Below are 19,603 nucleotides of genomic sequence, written 5' to 3' on the forward strand. Positions count from 1 at the left end.
CCTGAAAATCATTTACTGCTATATCCTCCATCTCCTCTTCCCCTATGAAGAATGGTATATAAACATCTGGACCTCACTGGGTTATTGGGTAACCACACTCCTGTGATTTTCCCCCATGTACATTAAATAAACTTTATATGCATTTTTATTCTATAAATCTTTCTTTTTGTCTGTTCATTTTCAGCAAACCTTCATTGAGGGTAGAGGACGCTTTCCCCCTCTACCCCTAAAATATTCTTTTTCAATATTACAGCAAAATTATTTAATCAACAATACTTTCCTAAAAGGGAAATGTAGGAAACTCAAACAAAATTAATGAACTTTTTGCATTCTATTACATTAAAACTCATAGTCTATCTTGCACTTTTGAATGAGTCTTTTACCTTTACATGATTTTGTAACATCATGCATTGGTCTTTTAGAAAATACTTATGCACTGAGTTATGTATGTTTTCCTAATGTTGACATATTTTATTATAAAATATCAAAAAATCACCTCTCAAGTTAAAAAAAAAAGGTGAAACCAGTTTTCTTCCAATGCTTACAACTCAAACAAGTGCACAGGTGTTTTACTCAAGATAAACATCATGGCTGCACACGGTGGCTCATGCCTGTAATCCCAGCACTTTGGGAGGCCCAGGCAGGTGGATCACTTGAGGCCAGGAGTTCAAGACCAGCATGGCCAACATGGCAAAACCCTGTCTCTACTAAAAATACAAAAATTAGCCAGACAAGGTGGCACACACCTGTAGTCCCAGCTACTTGGGAGGCTGAGGCACAAGAATTGCTTGAATCTGGCAGACAGAGGTTGCAGTGACCCGAGATCACACCACTGCACTCCAGCCTGGGTGACAGACTGAGACTATGGTTCAAAAAAAAAGATAAATATCACATAGCAGTATGCACAGAAATGCTTTAAGCATACTTTCTATTTCATCACACAGAATATTAAAAATATATATACTCAAAGGTGGAGACTTACTAAAATTAATAATTTTCCTGCCTTATCAAACACAAATTGTGTTAAGTGAAACTGGCTTCTTTTTATTTATGTAACTGACAGCACACATCAGTGAAAAAACACAATGACTACTAATATTCTTTGGTGCCACTGCCTTGGTTCCTGTTAAGACTCCAGCATTTTACCCACCATTACTTTAGCACTATTGTGCAAATGTAAATACCATGAAATAGGCAACTAATGTGTTAGTATTATTATGAAAATAGTTTTGACCTCACAGACCCTCTAAAAGAATCTCATGGATTCCCAAAGTGTTCACAGACCATACTTTGAGAATCATTGTTTTAAAAGAACTGAAAGGACAGTTTCTTTCCTTCCTTCCTTCCTTCCTGCCTTCTTGCTTTCTTGCTTTCTTTCTTGCTTTCGAGACAGAGTCTTACTCTGTTGCCCAGGCTGGAGTGCAGTGGCATGATCTCAGCTCATTGCAACCTCCGCTTCCCAGGCTCAAGCAATTCTCATGCTTCAGCCTCCTGAATAGCTGAGATTACAGACGCCCACCAACACGCCCGGCTAATTTTGTATTTTTTATTAGAGATGGGGTTTCACCATGTTGGCCAGACTGGTCTGGAACTCCCGACCTCAGGTAATCTGCCTACCTTAGCCTCCCAGAGTGCTAGGATTACAGGCGTTAGCCACTATGCCTGGCCGAGTTTCTTAAGGTATAATAAGTTTATAAAGTCTAATTTCAATAAGTTTTACAAATTCTTCCTTCATGCCATGCTTTTATTTATTTGCAGCCCCTTCATAAATTTGCACCTTCAAGCTATGCTTTAAATTCGCTTTTAAAATAATAGAGAACCAAGTTAATCTGATTCAATGCTTCTTATGAAATAAAACTTATCTAGAATGTATGTAAAATAACATATACTTTTGCTACAAAATGGGCAATTATTCAAAAATATACAATAATTCTAAAACTCTTAAAAATGAATATTCATCTTAGATGTGCAAAATGACAAAAATACCTACAACATAATGAAGCCAAAAATTAGTATACTTACTGTAACAGAGCTTGATTTCGTTCTGTTTCATCTTGAGACTGCTAGGAAAAAAAAAAGTTTTTTCCAACTGATAAGTGTTAATTCAATGCAACAAGCTAAAAAAATTAACATTTAAAGTAATTTTTGTGTTATTCTTTCTTAGCTTCTTTTTATGGTGGTAAAATACACATAAAATTTACTATCTATTTACTATCTGTACATTTTTAAGTGTACAGTTCTCTGGCATTAAGTATACTCACACTGTTGTACAACCAAGACCATCATGAACTTCCAGAACTTTTTCATTTTCCCAAAGTGAAACTCCATGCTCATTAAACACTAACTCCCCACTCCCCTCTCCACAACCCATGGCAGCCACCATTCTGCTTTCTGTCTTTATTGATTTACTACTCTAGAAACATCATATAAGAGATACAAAATTTTAATCATTCTGTGACTAGTTTATTTCACTTAGTATTCAAGGTTTATCTATGTTGTGGCATGTATCTGCATTTTCTTCCATTTTAAGACTGAATAATATTCTACTGTATGTATGTACCACATTTGGTTTATTCATCTATTGATGGACACTTGCAGTGCTTCCACCTTTTTTGGCTATGGAGAATAATGCTGCCATGAACATGTGTGTACAAATATATCTATTCAAGTCCCTGCTTTCACTTCTTCGGCATATACAATCAGAAGTGAAATTGCTAAATCATTAAGGTGATTCTATGTTTAACTTTTTTAAGGAATAGCCACACCATTTTCCACAGCAGTTGCATCATTTTACATTTCCATCTGCTATGTACAAGGGTTCCAATTTCTCTACATTCTTGCCAACACTTGTTATTTTGGGTATTTTTTTTAAATAATAGTCATCATAATGAGTGTAAAGTGGTATTTCATTGTGATTTTGATTTGCATTTCCCTAATGATTAGTGATATTGAGCATCTGTTCATTGGCCATTTTTATATCTTCTTTGGTGAAATGTCTATTTGAGCCCTTTACTCATTTTTTAATTCAGTTGTTTTTTTTTCTGCTGTGGAGTTGTAAGAACTCTTTATATATTCTGTAAACCATACATGATTTGCAAATATTTTCTCCCATTCCATAAGATGCTTTTATACTCTGTTGGTGGTGTCCTTTGACGCTCAAAAGTTTTTAATTTTCATGTAATCTAACTTATCTATTTTTTCTTTTGTTGCCTGTGCTTTTGGTGTGATAACTAAGAAATCATTGCCAGATCCAATGTCACGATACTCTTCTCCAACGTTTTCTTCTAAGAGTTTTATAGTTTTGGCTCTTCTGTCTTTATCATAACTCCTTTCCATACATACACAAAAAAGTAGAACTTAAGTGAAGAGAAAGAGAAGTGCTCTTTTTTTTATTCCTAGTTTTTTCCTCTTCATTAATATGTGATGATTCTGAACAGCCATTCTTGTCCAGTTCTAAGTTTTAATATTTCCCCTAAGGACCAGAAATTATATGACCTCTGTGTTACAGTGTTAAATACTAAACTGGGCAGGGCACAGTGGGTCACACCTGTAATCCTGGCACTTTGGGAGGTCAACATAGGCAGATAGCTTGAGCCCAGGAGTTGGAGACCAGCCTAGGAAACATGGCAAAACCCAGTTTCTACAAAAACAAAAACAACAACAACAACAACAACAAATTAGCCAGGCATGGTTGCCCATGCCTATAGTTCCAACTACCTAGGAGGCTGAGGTGGGAGGATCACCTGAACCCAGGGAGGTCAAGGCTGCAGTGAGCTGTGATGGCACCACTGCACCCCAGCCTGGGTGACAGAGACCCCAACTCAAAACTGATTCTGCCTAATTCTTAATACATATCAGAAAATCTGAAGTTGTTGTGTCCCTTTCGAAAAAGATAAAATACACTGATAACATGCTTCCATTTTAAGAGTTCACAACCTACTGGCTTTTGTCACTTTAAAAGGAATCTTTACCTTTAATATGTTGTCAGCATCTAAGAGCTTTAGAAAAAGACTTCTCTTTAGGGGCCCTTTATGTTTGTTTCTATGATAAATTATAAAGCTCTCTGAAAATAAAGCCATTAGGCTGAACTTGCAAGCATTTTCATGATTACACTAATACAATACAGAGCTAATGCCACTGAATACAGGTGGGGGCTGGAGATGTTAATTCGTTAATGAACAACATGCAAATCATATCAAAAAACACAAATAAAGCAATGTGATAACCTCAACCTTCTCCAATTAATGCTCAGTATTATATACTGATAATGCATCCCTAAACACCCCAAAGTTACATTAGTTTCACACATATATACTTCCCAAGCAGGCTTTACAGAGCTCAGAGGCCAAAGATAAGAAATGTCGAGAGACAAACCCAGAAACTCCCAAGAATTAATTAAACAGGGTATACCTACACACTTACAAGATATTTCTGTGTCTCTGCAAAGTAATTTTTCAAATATTTGTAATTTTCATTTATCTTACTAAAGGACCAGTGACTTTTCCTGTTGAGGACTAATTATTCACTTGACTGTACCTACTTAAGGTTCTACACGGAACTCCTGGGCTCAAGCTATCTGCCCATGTTGGCCTCCAAAAGTGCAAAAGGTAAATGCAAAAGGTAAGAAAGCAAGTAGGAAGGAAGGTTGCTCCTGACAGCTGATTTATTTCCTCCTCTATAGACAGAACTACCAACCAAGAGCTAATGCCATTGAATACAAGTGGGGGCTGGAGCTGTTAATTTGTTAATGAACAATATGCAAGAATACATGTCAATCAATTTTTTCATAAGAAACACAAATTGGCATCTATCTTTTTAATACATGTGACTGAACCTTCCCCTGTCTTTACCCCACTGCATTTTGACAAGGCCATTAAACCGTAGAGTTTTCTTGTTGTTTTTTTTGTTTTGGAGCTAGGATGTGAGAGGTAAGAGAGGTTAATTGTGTTAATTTAGAGGATCTAGAAAAGAAGCAAATCTATTTCTATATCCTCAACCAAAAAAGCAATCTCCTGCTATCTGAGAACATTCTCTTTCACTGATTCATGGATAACTGGGAGTGGAGTGGAAGAAGTCTGGCTTGCCGGATCAGCCCAACCAATCCTGGCTCTCCATGACACACTGAATGTCTCACACAAACTACCTTCACATTTGGTAGACCAGAATAGTAGTTACTGGTATTCAATAAGCGTTTGAAGTACCTGGATGAATTGCTAACAACATTTGCTTAAGATATCTTTCTTTCAGAGTGAGGTACCCAAACTTGGTCATGTATATAGATATTTAAAAATATTTTCAAATATCCATACAATTGCCTTTTAGAGCGTTCCCTCTGGACATATGGTACCATCTGTGTACTGCTTCAGTATTCTTAAATGTTGACATCCACTCACTAGGATCTAAACACAATTTAAATACACAGTGATTTAACCACTGAATGAGAATTGTCTTTACTCTAGCTAAGTTAGGTGCTAAAGCCCCATTTTCATCCTACTTCTTCCCAGAAATATTCCTAAGTCATTGCAACTTCTGAACAGAGACAGCAATTTTAGGAAGCAAGTTAGGATGAATTAAAGAGCCAGGAAAAGTATACCATTGGCAGTAGTGATCAGCTCAGTAGCATCAGGGGTACCTAACTTTAGAAAAATCACATTGTATTTGAGTAGCCCAGCAATTTATTACTCAGTGAGGCAGCTAGTAAGAGAGAATGCTACCTGCCCACGGGGGCTTTAAAAGACCATGCAGTGCATAATCTCTCCATGAGCTCTGGCCTTGCCAGCCCTGATCCTTCTTCCATTACACACACATCAAACAAGCCTGTGGTTATTTATTTCCCCTTCAAGGTTCTCTTTAATGCTCATTTTAACTGATTCTCTCTCTGAATCTTGATAAAGATAGAAGATGGAGGCTGCAAAAGGGAAAAGGAAAGTGAGATTCAAGTTGTATTCACAACTCTCAGATAAATAGTCCTGAGGCAGAAGAAGCGGCCTACTGGTAATAATTGTACAATTCAATTAATCTTTACTCCCTGTCAACAAGTATCTTCTAGATGACCAAAAACTGACTATGAGACCAGTGATGCCCACTGTATTAGTCAGGATCCTCCAGAGAAACAGAACCAATGGGATGTGTACATATGTAGAAAGAGATTTATTATAAGGAATTGGCTCCCACAATTATGGAAACTGGCAAGTGCAAATATGCAGTGTGACCTGTCGGGCTCGAGACACAGCCAGCCAATGGTATAGTTCCAGTCTAAAGGTCAACAGGCAGAGAACCAGAACAGGCAATAGTACAGATGGAGTTTAAAGGCCAGCAGGAAATCATCCGGGAGAGCTAATGGTGCTGATAAAATCTAAAGACAGTCTGCTGTAGAATTCTCTCTTGCGGGGAGAGGCAGGTCTTTTTGTTCTATTCAGGTCTTCAACTGATTAGATGAGGCCTACCCACATGATGGAGGGCAGTCTGCTTTACTCAGGTCCACTGACTTTAATGTTAATTTCATTCAAAAACACTCACAGAATATCCAGAATAATGTTTGACCAACTATCTGAACATTCTGTGACCCAGCCAAGTTGACACATAAAATGAACCATCATGCCCCCCTAATTTTGACATACCCATGTCTCCATTATCTCTCCAGGCATATCACTAAACTCTCCACACAAACCAAAATCTATTCATGTAAAGTTTTAAAACTGCTTGCCATATAGCATACATGTAAAGAACTAGAAAAGGTATTTTATAAGACCCAACAAAAATGAGGAGTATGAAATATTTTTAAAGATTGATGCCTACATTTTAAAAAATTAATATGACATACATCAAATCAAAGATCTTCTATTTCTTCATTGTTTGTTCTTATTTAAAATAGCTCATCATTTCTAAAATAGTATTCTTTAAAGTTGAAATATCAATATTGGTATCTGTGAATCTGGGAAGAATTTATTTAGAAACCTGTTTCATAATTATTTAGAATTTACTTAGAAATCTAATTCCAGTTGCAAAACAACAAATTAAAAAAAAAACTCTGAGAAAGTACCTTTTCATATCTCAATTTCTTTATCTGATAAAATCAGTTTCTCTCATATAGTTAAATTTCAAAAGGTTTATTTTCATAGGATAAAACAATGAAAGAAGCAACATTTATCAATTTAGAAAATAGTATTAATTAAAATTTGCTACAGATGTTCACATACTGGGATTACATTGCCTTTTACTGTAGACAAAAGTAGGATATAAAAGAAAGTTAAAGGAGGTATCTATTTTTCCAATGAAAGTTTTTTAAAAAGAACCAAATATCCAATACTTCACTTATCCTTCTTAATCTAATTTTATAACAAGCCCATACTCAGCAGATGGCTAGTTTACTATCTGATGATAAAGTTTTGAAGAATACATTTGTTAACTCTTCAAGTCCTCTAAGGCAATTGTTCCAAGCTGACTGAATATTAGAAATTAATTGGAAGGCTTTTGAAAACTGAACATTCCCAGGTTCCACCCAAGTATGGGTCTGAGAATCCATATATTTAAAAAGCTACCCAAATGGGTCTGAAAATCTTACTTTTTAAACCATGTTCTGAGGTACAATACAGTTCCTGGTACAACAATCACATAGCAAATGTTTCTGAAATAAATTGAAAGAAAAATAATTATTACCTCCTATTTCACAATTACTGAAGCCAGAGGAAATAAATATTACTTTTTCTGAACTCAGAAGTTACAAAATTAATTTTTAAATGAGTTATTAGAAGGCAAATATAGATCTCTCAATTTCAAGGAAAGATATTTGGTGTTAAATGTTTTGCTTTTTATCAGAGATCATTTATTTGATACACTTTCCTAAGTATGATATTAAGTAGACCTTCACATTAACTTTTGGGAAATGCTGTCAGTTTCTGCTACTAAAATGTATGTATCTTTCCTTCCATTCCTTATCTCTGGTTAGCTAACTTACTTATGCCAAGGTGCTAACAGAATCATCCCTTACTTTTCCCCATGACATTTACTTTAAAAAAAAATTGAGATCTTTCTAACTTTTTGATGTGGGTGTTCAGTGCTATAAATCTCTTTCTTAACACTCCTTAGCTGTGCCCCAGAGATTCTGGTATGTTGTGTCTTTGCTCTCATTAATTTCAAAGAATGTCTTGATTTCTGCCTTAATTTCATTATTTACCCAAAAGTCATTCAGGAGAAAGTTGTTTAATTTCTGTGTAATATTATGGTTTTTGAGCAATTTTCTTGGCCTTGACTTCTATTTTTATTGAGCTGTGGTCCAAGAGTGTGGGTGGTATGATTTCAGTTTTTTGAGTTTGATGAAAATTGTTTCATGTCCGATTGCAGGGTAAATTTTAGAATATGTGCCATGTGGCAATGAAAAGAATGTATATTCTGTTGTCTTCGGGTGGAGAGTCCTGTAGATGTCTACTAGGTCCATTTGGTCAAGTGTTGAGTTCAGGTCCTGAATCTCTTTGTTAATTTTCTGCCTCAATCATCTAATACTGTTGGTGTGGTGTTGAAGTCTCCCAGTATTATGGTGTGGGAGTCCAAGTCTCTTCTTAGGTCTCTAAGAACTTGCTTTATGAATATGGGTGCACCTGAGTTGGGTGCATACAGATTTAGGACAGTTAAGTCTTCTTGTTGAATGGAACCCTTTACCATTAAGTAATGCCCTTCTTTTTCTTGCTATGGACTAGGGAAGGGAATGCCCCTCTTTGTCTTTTTTGATCTTTGTTGCTTAAAGGCTGTTTTGTCTGAAATTAGGATTGCATCACCTGCTTTTTTCTGTTTTCTATTTGCTTGGTGGATTTTTCTCCAACCTTTTATTTTGAGCCTATGGGTATCACTGTATGTGAGATGGGTCTCTTGAAGACAGCATACCTCTGGGTCTTACCTCTTTATCCCACTTGCCACTCTGTGTCTTTTAATGGGGACATTAAGTTCATTCATATTCAACATTAGTATTGATATGTGTGGATTTGATCCTGTCATCATGTTGTTAGCTGGTTATTATGCAGATCTGTTTGTGTGGTTGCTTTATACTGTCACTGGTCTGTGTACTTAAGTGTGTTTTTGTAGTGGCTGGTAACAATCTTTCCTTTCCATATTTAGGGCTTCTTTTAGGAGCTCTTGTAAGGAAGTTCTGGTGGTAATGAATTCCCTGAGCATTTGCTTGTCTCAAAAGGATCTTATTTCTCAAATTAACAACTAAACATACAACTAGAAGAACTGGAGAAGCAAGAGTAAAGCAACCTCAAAGCTGGTAGAAGAGAAGAAATATCCAAAAATCAGAGCTGAACTGAAGGAGACAGAAACATGAAAACCTTACAAAAGATCAACAAATCCAGAAGTTGGTTTTTTGGAAAAAATTAATAGGACAGATAGAATTCTAGGTAGACTAATAAGGAAGAAAAGAGAGAAGATCCAAATAAACACAGTTAGAAATGGCAAAGGAGATGTTACCACTGACCCCACAAAAATGCAAACAGCCATCAGAGACAACTATCAACACCTCTATGCACATAAATCTAAAATTCCAGAAGAAATGGATAAATTCCTGGACGTATACATCCTTCCAAAACTGAATCAGGAAGAAATTGAATACTTAAACAGACCAATAATGAGCTCTGAAATTAAATCAGTAATAAACAGCCTACCAACTAAAAAAAGCCCAGGACCAGAGAGATTCACAGCTGAATTATAACAGATGTACAAAGAAGAGCTGGTGCCATTTCTACTGAAGTTATTACAAAAAATTGAGGAGGAGAGACTCATCCCCAACTCATTCTAGGAGGCTAGCATAATCCTGACACTAAAACCTGTCAGAGTCACAACAAAAAAAAGAAAACTTCAGGCCAATATCCTTGATGAATATATATGCTCATCAAAATCCTCAACAAAATACTAACAAACCAAATGTGAATTCGCACAACAAAAAGCTAATTCACCAGGATCAAGCAGGCCTTATCTCTGGAATGCTTCAACGTATTCAAATCAATAAATGTGATTCATCAAACATATTCAAACATATTCAAATCAATAAATGTGATTCATCAAACAGAAATAAAAGACAAAAACCACATGATTATCCCAACAGATGCAGAAAAGGCTTTCAATCAAATTCAAATCCCTTCATGTTAAAAACCCTCAATTACCTAGGCATTGAAGGAACAACTCCAAAATAATAAGAGCCACCTATGACAAAGCCACAGCCACCACCAAACATCATACTGAATGGGCAAAACTTGGAAGCATTCCCCTTGAAAACCAGAACAAAATAAGGATGCCCTCTCTCACCACTCCTATTCAACATAATATTGGAAGTCCTGGCCAGAGCAGTCAGGTAAGAGAAAGAAATAAAAGGCATCCAAATAAAAAGAGAGGAAGTCAAACTATCCCTGTTTGCAAATGACATGCTTCTATATCTAGAAAACCCCATAGTCTCTGCCCAAAAGCTCCTTGAGCTGATAAGCAACTTCAGCAAAGTTTCAGAACACAAAATTGATGTACAAAAATCAGTAGCATTCCTATACACCAAAAGCAGCCAAACTGACAGCCAAAAGTAACACAGTCCCATTCACAATTGCCAAAACAACAACACCAAAAACAAACAAACAAGCAACAAACAAAAAAAGTAGGAATCCAGCTAACTAGGGAGGTGAAAGATCTCTACAATGATAATTATAAAACACTGCTCAAAGAAATCATAGGTGACACAAATAGAAGAACATTCCATACTCATGAATAGGAAGACTCAATATCGTTAAAATGGGCATATCAACCAAAGCAATTTACAGATACAATGCTATGACATCCTTCACAGAACCAGAAAAAAACTATTCTAAAATTCATAGGGAACCAGAAAAGATCCCGAATAGCCAAGGCAATCCTAAGCAAAAGAAAAAGCTGGAGGAATCACATTGCCTGTCTTCAAACTGTACAAAGCTACAGTAACCAAATCAGCATGGTACTGGTACAAAAATAGACACATAAACAAATGGAACAGAAGAGAATGCCCAGAAATACAGCTACACATCTATGACCATCTGATCTTTGGCAAAGCTGACAAAAACAAGCAATGAGGAAAGAACTCCTTATTCAATAAATGGTGCTGGGATAACTGGCTAGCTATATACAGAAGGTTGAAACTGGACCCCTTTCTTATACCGTATATAAAAATCAACTCAAGATGGATTAAAGATCTAAATATAAAACGTAAAACTATAGAAACCCTGAAAGATAACCTAGGAAATACCATTTTGGACATGGAAACTGGCAAAGATTTGATGAGGAAAATTCCAAAAGCAATCACAAGAAAAACAAAAACTGACAAATGGGACCTAATTAAACCAAACAGCTTCTGCACAGCAAAAGAAACTATCAACAGAGTAAACAGGCAACCTACAGAATGGTAGAAAACATTTAACAGGCAACCTATGGAATGGGAGAAAACGTTTGCAAATTATACATCTGACAAAGGTCTAATATACAGAATCTACAAGGAACTTACAAAAATGTACAGGCAAAAAGCAACTCCATTAAAAAGTGGGCAATGGCCGGGAACGGTGGCTCACACCTGTAATCCCAGCACTTTGGAGGCTGAGGCGGGTGGATCACCTGAGGTCGAAAGTTCGAGACCAGCCGAACCAACACAGAGAAGCCCTGTCTCTACTAAAAATACAAAAAAATTAGCCGAGCATGATGGTGCATGCCTGTAATTCCAGCTACTCGGGAGGCTGAGGCAGGAGAATCACTTGAACCTGGGAGGCAGACACTACAGTGAGCTGTGATCATGTCATTGCACGCCAGACTGGACAACAAGAGCAAAACTCCGTCTCAAAAAAAAAAAAAAGTGGGCAAAAGACATGAACAGACACTTTACACAAGAAGACATATACGTGGCCAACAAGCATCCAAAAAAATGCTCAATGTCACTAATCATTCAGGAAATGCAAATCAATGAGATACCAGCTCACACCAGTCAAAATGGCTATTAAAAGTTAAAGAATAACAGGCCAGGTGCAGTGGCTTATGCTTGTAACCCCAGCACTTTGGGAGGTCAAAGTGGGCAGATCCCTTGCAGTCAGGAGTTTGAGACCAGCCTGGCCAACATGGCAAAACCCTGTCTCCACTAAAAATACAAAAATTACCCAGGCATGGTGGCACGTGGTGGAATACTATGCAGCCATAAAAAAGAATGAGATCATGTCCTTTGCAGCAACATGGATGGAACTGGAGGCCATTATCCTTAGCAAACTAATGCAGAAACAGAAAACCAAATAACGCATGTTCTCACCTACAAGTAGGAGCTAAATCATGAGAACACATGGACAGAAGGAGGGGAAAAACAGATACTGGAGCTTACTTGAGGGAGAATGATGGGAGAAGGAAAAGGTTCAGAAAAAAAAAACCTGTGGGGTACTATGCTTAGTACCCAGGTGATAATAATCTGTACACCAAAAAAATTGATTCTCAGAAATCTACATGCAGTTTGAAATGACATAAATGTCAAAATCATATTTTAAAAGACAAAAAAAGTAAAAATTCTTTGTGTGTGTGTGTGCAGGCACATACATATACATACACTCACACACATAAGACAACGGAAGTGTCTTTTCAGTGGCCTATATCTCAAATTATACCATACAGGCTATATCTTCTTCACAAGTTTAAGAAGAATCCCTAATATAAAATGGAGATGAAAATCATAATTATTACATCCTATTTTAACCTCTGTTCCTCTCATATCTGCATCTCTACCAAAGGGTGAAAAACATAAGAGGTGTAAGAGTGGACAAAAGAAAACACAGTTCACTTTTGAACAACACAGGCTTGAACTGTGTTGGTTCACTTATACATGAATTTTTTTCAACCCCTGCCGCCCCTGGGAAAGCAAAACCAACCCCTCCTCTTTCTCTCTTTTTCTTCCCCAGTCTACTCAATGTGAAGACAATAGGATGAAGATCTTTATGATGACCCACTTGCACTTAATGAATAGTAAATATGTTTTCTCCTCTTTATGATCTTCTTAACATTTTCTTTTCTCTATCTTACTGTGTTGTAACAATACAGTATATAATACATATAAAAGAATATGTATTGACTATCAATAAGGCTTCCAGTCAACAGTAGGCTATAAGTAGTTAAGTTTTGGGAGAGTCAAAAGTTGCATGTGGATTTTTCACTGCACAGAGGGTCAGCATCCCTAACTCCCAAATTGTTCAAGGATCAACTGTATTTTAAATTCTCCCTTCTAAAACAATTGTTTTCATCAAAGTTGCAACAAAGAAATAGAATGACTAGTTAAGAAAGAGGTAAAAATTAATAAGAAAAGAGGAAAGAAGCAAAATATAGACAAAAAGAATTATCATTAGTAATTTGCCACTCTGAGCGATAGCATTTCCAATTTTTAATGAGTATGTATTCAATCAACATGCTACACACCTGTAATATTGTATCCTCGCTAAGAACAGGCATCATCTTATTTTTATTCATTTGCTCTTGCAGATCCTCTCTGAGCTTAAATCCAAGTTGAATCTCAGGAGAAGGCATGCCTAGAGTGAAACATAATCATAAATCATTTACAACAGTTTTATTGCTCTGCTTTGATAATGGCCCAATAATTTTATACGCATGCAAAATGTTATCAAGAATCATCTAGTATATTATTTCTTTTTTCATTTCTTCTAAAAAAAAACGAGATATATGTGCAGAACGTGCAGGTTTGTTACATAGGTATACGTGTGCCATGGTGGTTTGCTGCACCTATTGATGCGTCCTCTAAGTTCTCTCCCCTCACCCCCCAACCCCCAACAGGCCCTGGTGTGTGTTGTTCCTCTCTCTGTGTCCATGTGTTCTCAACGTTCAACTCCTGTTTATGAGTGAGAACATGCAGTGTTTGGTTTTCTGTTCCTGTGTTAGTTTGCTGAGGATGATGGCTTCCAGCTTCATCCATGTCCCTGCAAAGGACATGATCTCATTCCTTTTTGTGGCTGCATAGTATTTCATGGTGTATATGTACCATACTTTCTTTATCCATTGATAGGCATTTGGGCTGGTTCCATGTCTTTGCTATTGTAAATAGTGCTGCAGTAAACATACATGTGCATGTGTCTTTATAGTACAATGACTTATAATCCTTTGGGTTTATACCCAGTAATGGGATTGCTGGGTCAAATGGTATTTCTAGTTCTAGATACTTGAGGAATCCCTGTACTGTCTTCCACAATGGTTGAACTAATTTACATTCGCACCAACAGTGTAAAAGCATTCCTATTTCTTCACAGCCTTGACAGCATCTATTGTTTCCTGACTTTTTAATAATCACCATTCTGACAGGCATGAGATGGTATCTCCTTGTGGTTTTAATTTGCATTTCTCTGATGATCAGTGATGTTGAGCTTTTTTTCATATGTTTGTGGCATATTACAATTTCTTAACTGCCACTTTTATGTGTTAATATTTTTCAATTATTAAGAGGAAACACATATACTACACTGAATGAAATAATACTTGATATTTATTTGTCTCAGGATGAATAAAGGCAATCAATATGCATAGAAAGTACATAGACTTAAACACCACTAGAATAATTTAAAAATTCCTTTTTAAATTCATTTTAGATTGTTTTTTTGAAACTCATAATACTAGTACATAGTCCAAAAAAGCCACAGTTTTTGTTTCCAAAATGGCAAACTGAGCCCATATTTTTTAACCTTCCAAGTTCATAGAAAAATATGCAAAGAAATTACTAGATTTTTGGTTTTTGAAAATCTGAAGCAACAATGGAAAGGAAAGGAATATAGAAATATACCCCCTATAGATCAAAAGATGGGAATGGATTCAAGGAAACCCAAACAGTAGTAAACAGCTTGTTATCGACTGAATGTCTGTGCACACCCGCCCCAGCCAAATTCATATGCTGATGCCCTAACCGCCAATGTGATGATATTAGAAGGTAAGATCTTTGGGAGGTAGTTGGGTTTAGATGAGGTATTGAGGGTGAAGCCCTCATAATCCCTCCTGAGATTAATATCCTTATAAAAAGAGAGAGAAAAACCAGAGCTCTCTCTCCCTGAGCACAAAGAGGAGGTCACGTGAGCACACAGCAATGTAGCAGCCATCCGCACAATCCAGGAAGAGGGTCCTCACCTAGAACCAATCTGCCAGCACCTTGATTTTGGATTTCTCATCCTCCAGAACTGTGAAAAATAAATATCTATAGATCAAACCATCCAGTCTATAGTTTTGTTATAGCAGCCCCAACTGACTAAGACACAGCTTATCACACAACACAGGAAAAGGAAGAGATCTCTCAGAAATAATTATATATATATATATATATATATATATATATGTATATATATATATATATACACACATTTCTTCCATTAGAATTCCAGAAAACCACCCAGTTCAGAGAAAATCCCACTAACAAAAGTTGGAAGAAGGTAAATTGGAAGAACACTGTGATTAAAGTGTCATACTGCATTGAGCTTGCTGTTTGTACCAAAGAAACTTAGGATGAATGCTGTGGCCAATTACTCTGTATAACAGGATATCTTCCCTACCATACATAGAAATATATTATACTAAAGCTAAGGATGATAAAATAATGTAGTGATGAAAAAGTCACAGAAATAGTCTAATAGGTCAATGAAACAAAACAATGAGTAGAAAATGGACATACACACACACATATATATGGAAATTTAATATATGACAATGGTATTTTAAACCGGGGCAACAAGATGGATTATTCAATAAATGATATTAGGAAAATTGGTTAACCATTTCAAAAAAATAAAGTTTGAGCCCTACCTTTCCCATATGCCAAAATATTCCAAACATTAAAAATATAAAAGCTATAAATATAATCAATGGAAATAAAGATTAAAAATGTATCTTTATGGTTTTGAGGTCACTGAAGTATTTCTAAGTCTGATAGAGAAAGAAGAAACCCTAAAAGAGAAGACCAACAGCTTTTACTACACAAAAACTTAAAATTTCTTCACTGCAAAATATATCATGAATAATATTAAAAGATAACCAGAAAACTGGGTAAAACTATTCACAATATATATGACAAAGATTTGCTATCTTTAATATAGAAAATGCTCTTACAAATCAATAATAAAATGAAAATAATTTGGAGACAGATGCAGGCAATTCAGACACAAAAAATAATTATGAATTATCTATATTAAAATAGGCCTAACACTGGTATTCCTTGAAAATGCAAACTAAATCAGATACTTTTTATTTGACACAGACTGAATTATTTGCTGCGTTGGTTGTAGGGAGAAGGAGACATCTTTTTTGGGGGAAATATATGTCAAGAGCTGAGCACAAAGTTTTAGATAGTTATTCTAAGGAAAAAATCAGAAAAGCAGGCAAAGGTATAAGTATTAATATTTTCATATTTTGTAATAGTATTGAAAAACATTAAGTATCATTAATTCATTAAATAGGGTACATTCATACAATGGAATAATACATAGCAATGTAAAAGGATGAGGTAGACTCCAACGTGGACCTAGTATCTCTTTTGTATACCAGCAGCTGGAGAGACTCCGATGACCGCAGTGGTCAACAAAATCCCCAAGGACTTTTTGTTGACCAAGGAGTCAATACTAAGAACAATGACCATATTAATTTGAAAATAGTAGGCAGGATGGTCATACAGTACAGTTTAGGATTAGGAGTCATACACCACTTAGTAAACTAATGAAAGCCTATTGTGAATGACAGGGTTTGTCAATGAGACAGATCAGATTCCAATTTGACAGGCAACCAATAACACAAACACAAATGGTGGATGAAGATACAAGTGATGTGTTCCAAGAGCAGATAGGAGGTGTCTACTTAAAAGAAAACCTAAGATTCTCACATGTGGTTTCATGTCAGACCCAGCACATTGACAGCTGTGGTGGCTATGGTGAGAAAGGTGCAGAAGGCCTTCTGCTTGAGAAAGGTAGAGGGAAAAGTAAAGGGGACTTTGTCTTACACCTTAGGTGTGAGTTCAGCCACAATGGGTAGAGCACCAGGCAGCCTTTTGGGATCACTGATTCAATAAGGCCTTGAACAGCATTTCTGGACCTGCCCTGGGCCACAGGGGAGCCCACTGCTCTGAAGGGTGGGTTCCAGACCTGATAGCATTCACCACAAGCTGACTGAAGAGCCCTAGGGCATTAAGTGAACACTGGCAGTAGCCTGGCAGTATTCCTCTTGGGCCTATGGTAGTGATGGCCATGGGGTGAGGCTCTCCTACCTATGGAAACGGGAAGGAACGGTGGGAAGGACTGTGTCTCATGGTTTGAGTGCCAGCTCAGCCACAGTAGAATAGAATACCACGTAAATTTCTAAGGTTTTTGATTCCCATCTCTGGCTCCCAGACAACATCTCTAGACCTGCCCGAGGATTTGGGGAGCTCACTGTACTGAAGGGAAGGACACAAGCCTGGCTGGTTTTGTTACCTGCTGATTGTAGAGCTGTAGTGAACATAGGTGGTAGCCAGGTAATGGCTACAGCAGGCCTTGGGCAAGACTCAGTACCGTGCTGGGTTCAGGTCTGACCCAGTGGTGGTGGCTATAGGGGTACTCCACGTCTGTCCCAGTGGTGGTAGCCACAGGAGTACTTTAGGTCTGTCCCAGTGGTGGACAGTATTACCCTGATACCACAGAATGGTAGAAAGTATTTGCAAACTATCCATGTGACAAGGAATTAATAGCCAGAATACCTAAGGAGCTCGAACAACTTTATAGGAAAAAAAATATAATAATCAGATTTTAAAATGGGCAAAAGATCTGAACACACATGTCTCAAAAGAAGACATACAAATGGCAAACAGATATATGAAAAGGTACTCAACATCATGGATCATTGGAGAAATACAAATCAAAACTACAATGAAATATCATCTGACTCCAGTTACAAATGGCCTTTATGCAAACAACAGGCAATAACAAATGCTGGTGAAGATGTGGAGAAAAGTGAACCATCACACACTGTTGGTGGGAATGTAAATTAGTACAATCACTGTGGAGAATAGTTTGGCAATCCCTCACAGAAAAAGAAATACAGCTACCATACAATCCAGCAATCCCACTCCTAGGTATTTGGGATTTTCCTTTCCAAAAGAAAGAAAATTGGTATATCAAAGAGATATCTGCACTCCCACGGTTTTTTTTTTAGCACTATCCACAATAACCAAGATTTGCAAGCAACCTAAGTGTCCATCAACAGATGAATGGATAAAGGAAATGTGATATATATACACAGTGGAGTACTATTCAGCCATGAAAAAGAATGAGATTCTGTCATTTGCAACATGGATGGAACTGCAGGTCATAAGTGAAATAAGCCAGGAACAAAAATACAAACTTCACATGTTCTCATTTATTTGTGGGAGCCAAAATCACAACAATTGAACTCATGGAGATAAGGAGTAGAAGGATGGTTACCAGAGACTGGGAAAAATATTGCGGGCTGAGAAGGATGTAGGGATGGTTAATGGGCACAAAAAAATAGAAAGAATGAATAAGACCTACTGTTTGCTAGCACAACAGAGTGAGTATAGTCAAAATTAATTAATTGTACATTGTAAAATAATAAAATATAATTGGATTGTTTGAAACATAAAGGATAAATGCTTAAAGTGATGGATATCCCATTTACCCTGATGTGATTATCATGCCTAAATATCTCATATACCCCATAAATATATACACCTACTATGTACCCACAAATTTAAAAATTAAAAATTAAAAAAAGAAAGAAAACCTGCTACTTGACTCCGTAACTCCATTTTTACAGACCAGAAATACATTCTCAACTAGAAAACAATTTCATTCTACCATATCCTAATATAGCATAGTTTTCTTTATTCTTTCATTTTCCCTTCTCTATTCCTTTACTGCAGAGGTCCCCAATCCCTGGACCACGGACCAGTACCCATCCGTGGCCTGTTATGAACCAGGCTGCACCGCAGAAGGTAAGCAGCAGGCAAGCCAGCATTATCACCTGAGCTCCACCTCCTGTCTGATCAGCAGCAGCATCAGATTCTCATAGGAGTGCAAACCCTACTGTTAACTGCACATGTGAGGGATCAAGGTTGCACACTCCTTATAAGACTCTAATGCCTGATGACCTGAGATGGAACAGTTTCATCCTGAAACCATACCCCCAACCGCCATCCTGGGAAAAATTATCTTCCATGAAACTGGTCCCTGGTGCCAAAAAGGTTGGGGACCGCTGCTTTACTGCACATAAAGTAACTAGTGTATGTACACAAACATATTGCATTCTTTTGTTTTACTATATGGCCATTGAAAGGTTTTGATTGACATCAAATGAAGTTGGGATGGGAAAAAAACCCTGGTTCTGTGAAAATACCCACTTTCTCCATTAGTAGCATGCTCACTCAGCTCTTACCTTTATAATTCAGTAAGTTATTTTGCTCTATTTTAACACAAAAAATAACAACATAAAAATCCTTGCATGCCTTGTTTGACTGGAGAATTTTAATGTTTTTCATTTATCGTTGCAAAACCAAGGACAATTTTATAACTTTTTTTGTATGTAGCTGTTGAATGTAGAACAATCT

The 19,603-nt window shown here is 36.8% G+C and overlaps 1 protein-coding gene and 1 pseudogene across 14 annotated transcripts in view; one reads left to right on the forward strand and one right to left on the reverse strand.

Annotated features, from left to right (window-relative positions):
• Nucleotides 1-19,603, reverse strand: part of ANKRD31 (ankyrin repeat domain 31) — a 168,582-nt gene that overhangs the window by 140,509 nt on the left and 8,470 nt on the right. For 9 of the 14 annotated variants that reach the window (XM_017009319.2, XM_011543301.4, XM_047417078.1 and 6 more), the window contains exons 3-4: nucleotides 13,444-13,553; nucleotides 2,023-2,063 (exon numbers count right to left, since the gene is read on the reverse strand). In XM_017009319.2, the coding sequence (XP_016864808.1) occupies nucleotides 2,023-2,063; nucleotides 13,444-13,553 (151 nt within the window). Of the gene's footprint in view, nucleotides 1-2,022; nucleotides 2,064-3,547; nucleotides 3,583-13,443; nucleotides 13,554-19,603 lie in introns of those variants that run through there. The other 5 variants (NM_001164443.1, NM_001372053.1, XM_024446010.2 and 2 more) reach the window with 3 other exon arrangements.
• Nucleotides 16,619-16,863, forward strand: SUMO2P5 (SUMO2 pseudogene 5; annotated as a pseudogene).

The sequence above is a fragment of the Homo sapiens genome, chromosome 5 (genome assembly GCF_000001405.40).
Source record: "Homo sapiens chromosome 5, GRCh38.p14 Primary Assembly".
NCBI lineage: Eukaryota > Metazoa > Chordata > Mammalia > Primates > Hominidae > Homo > Homo sapiens.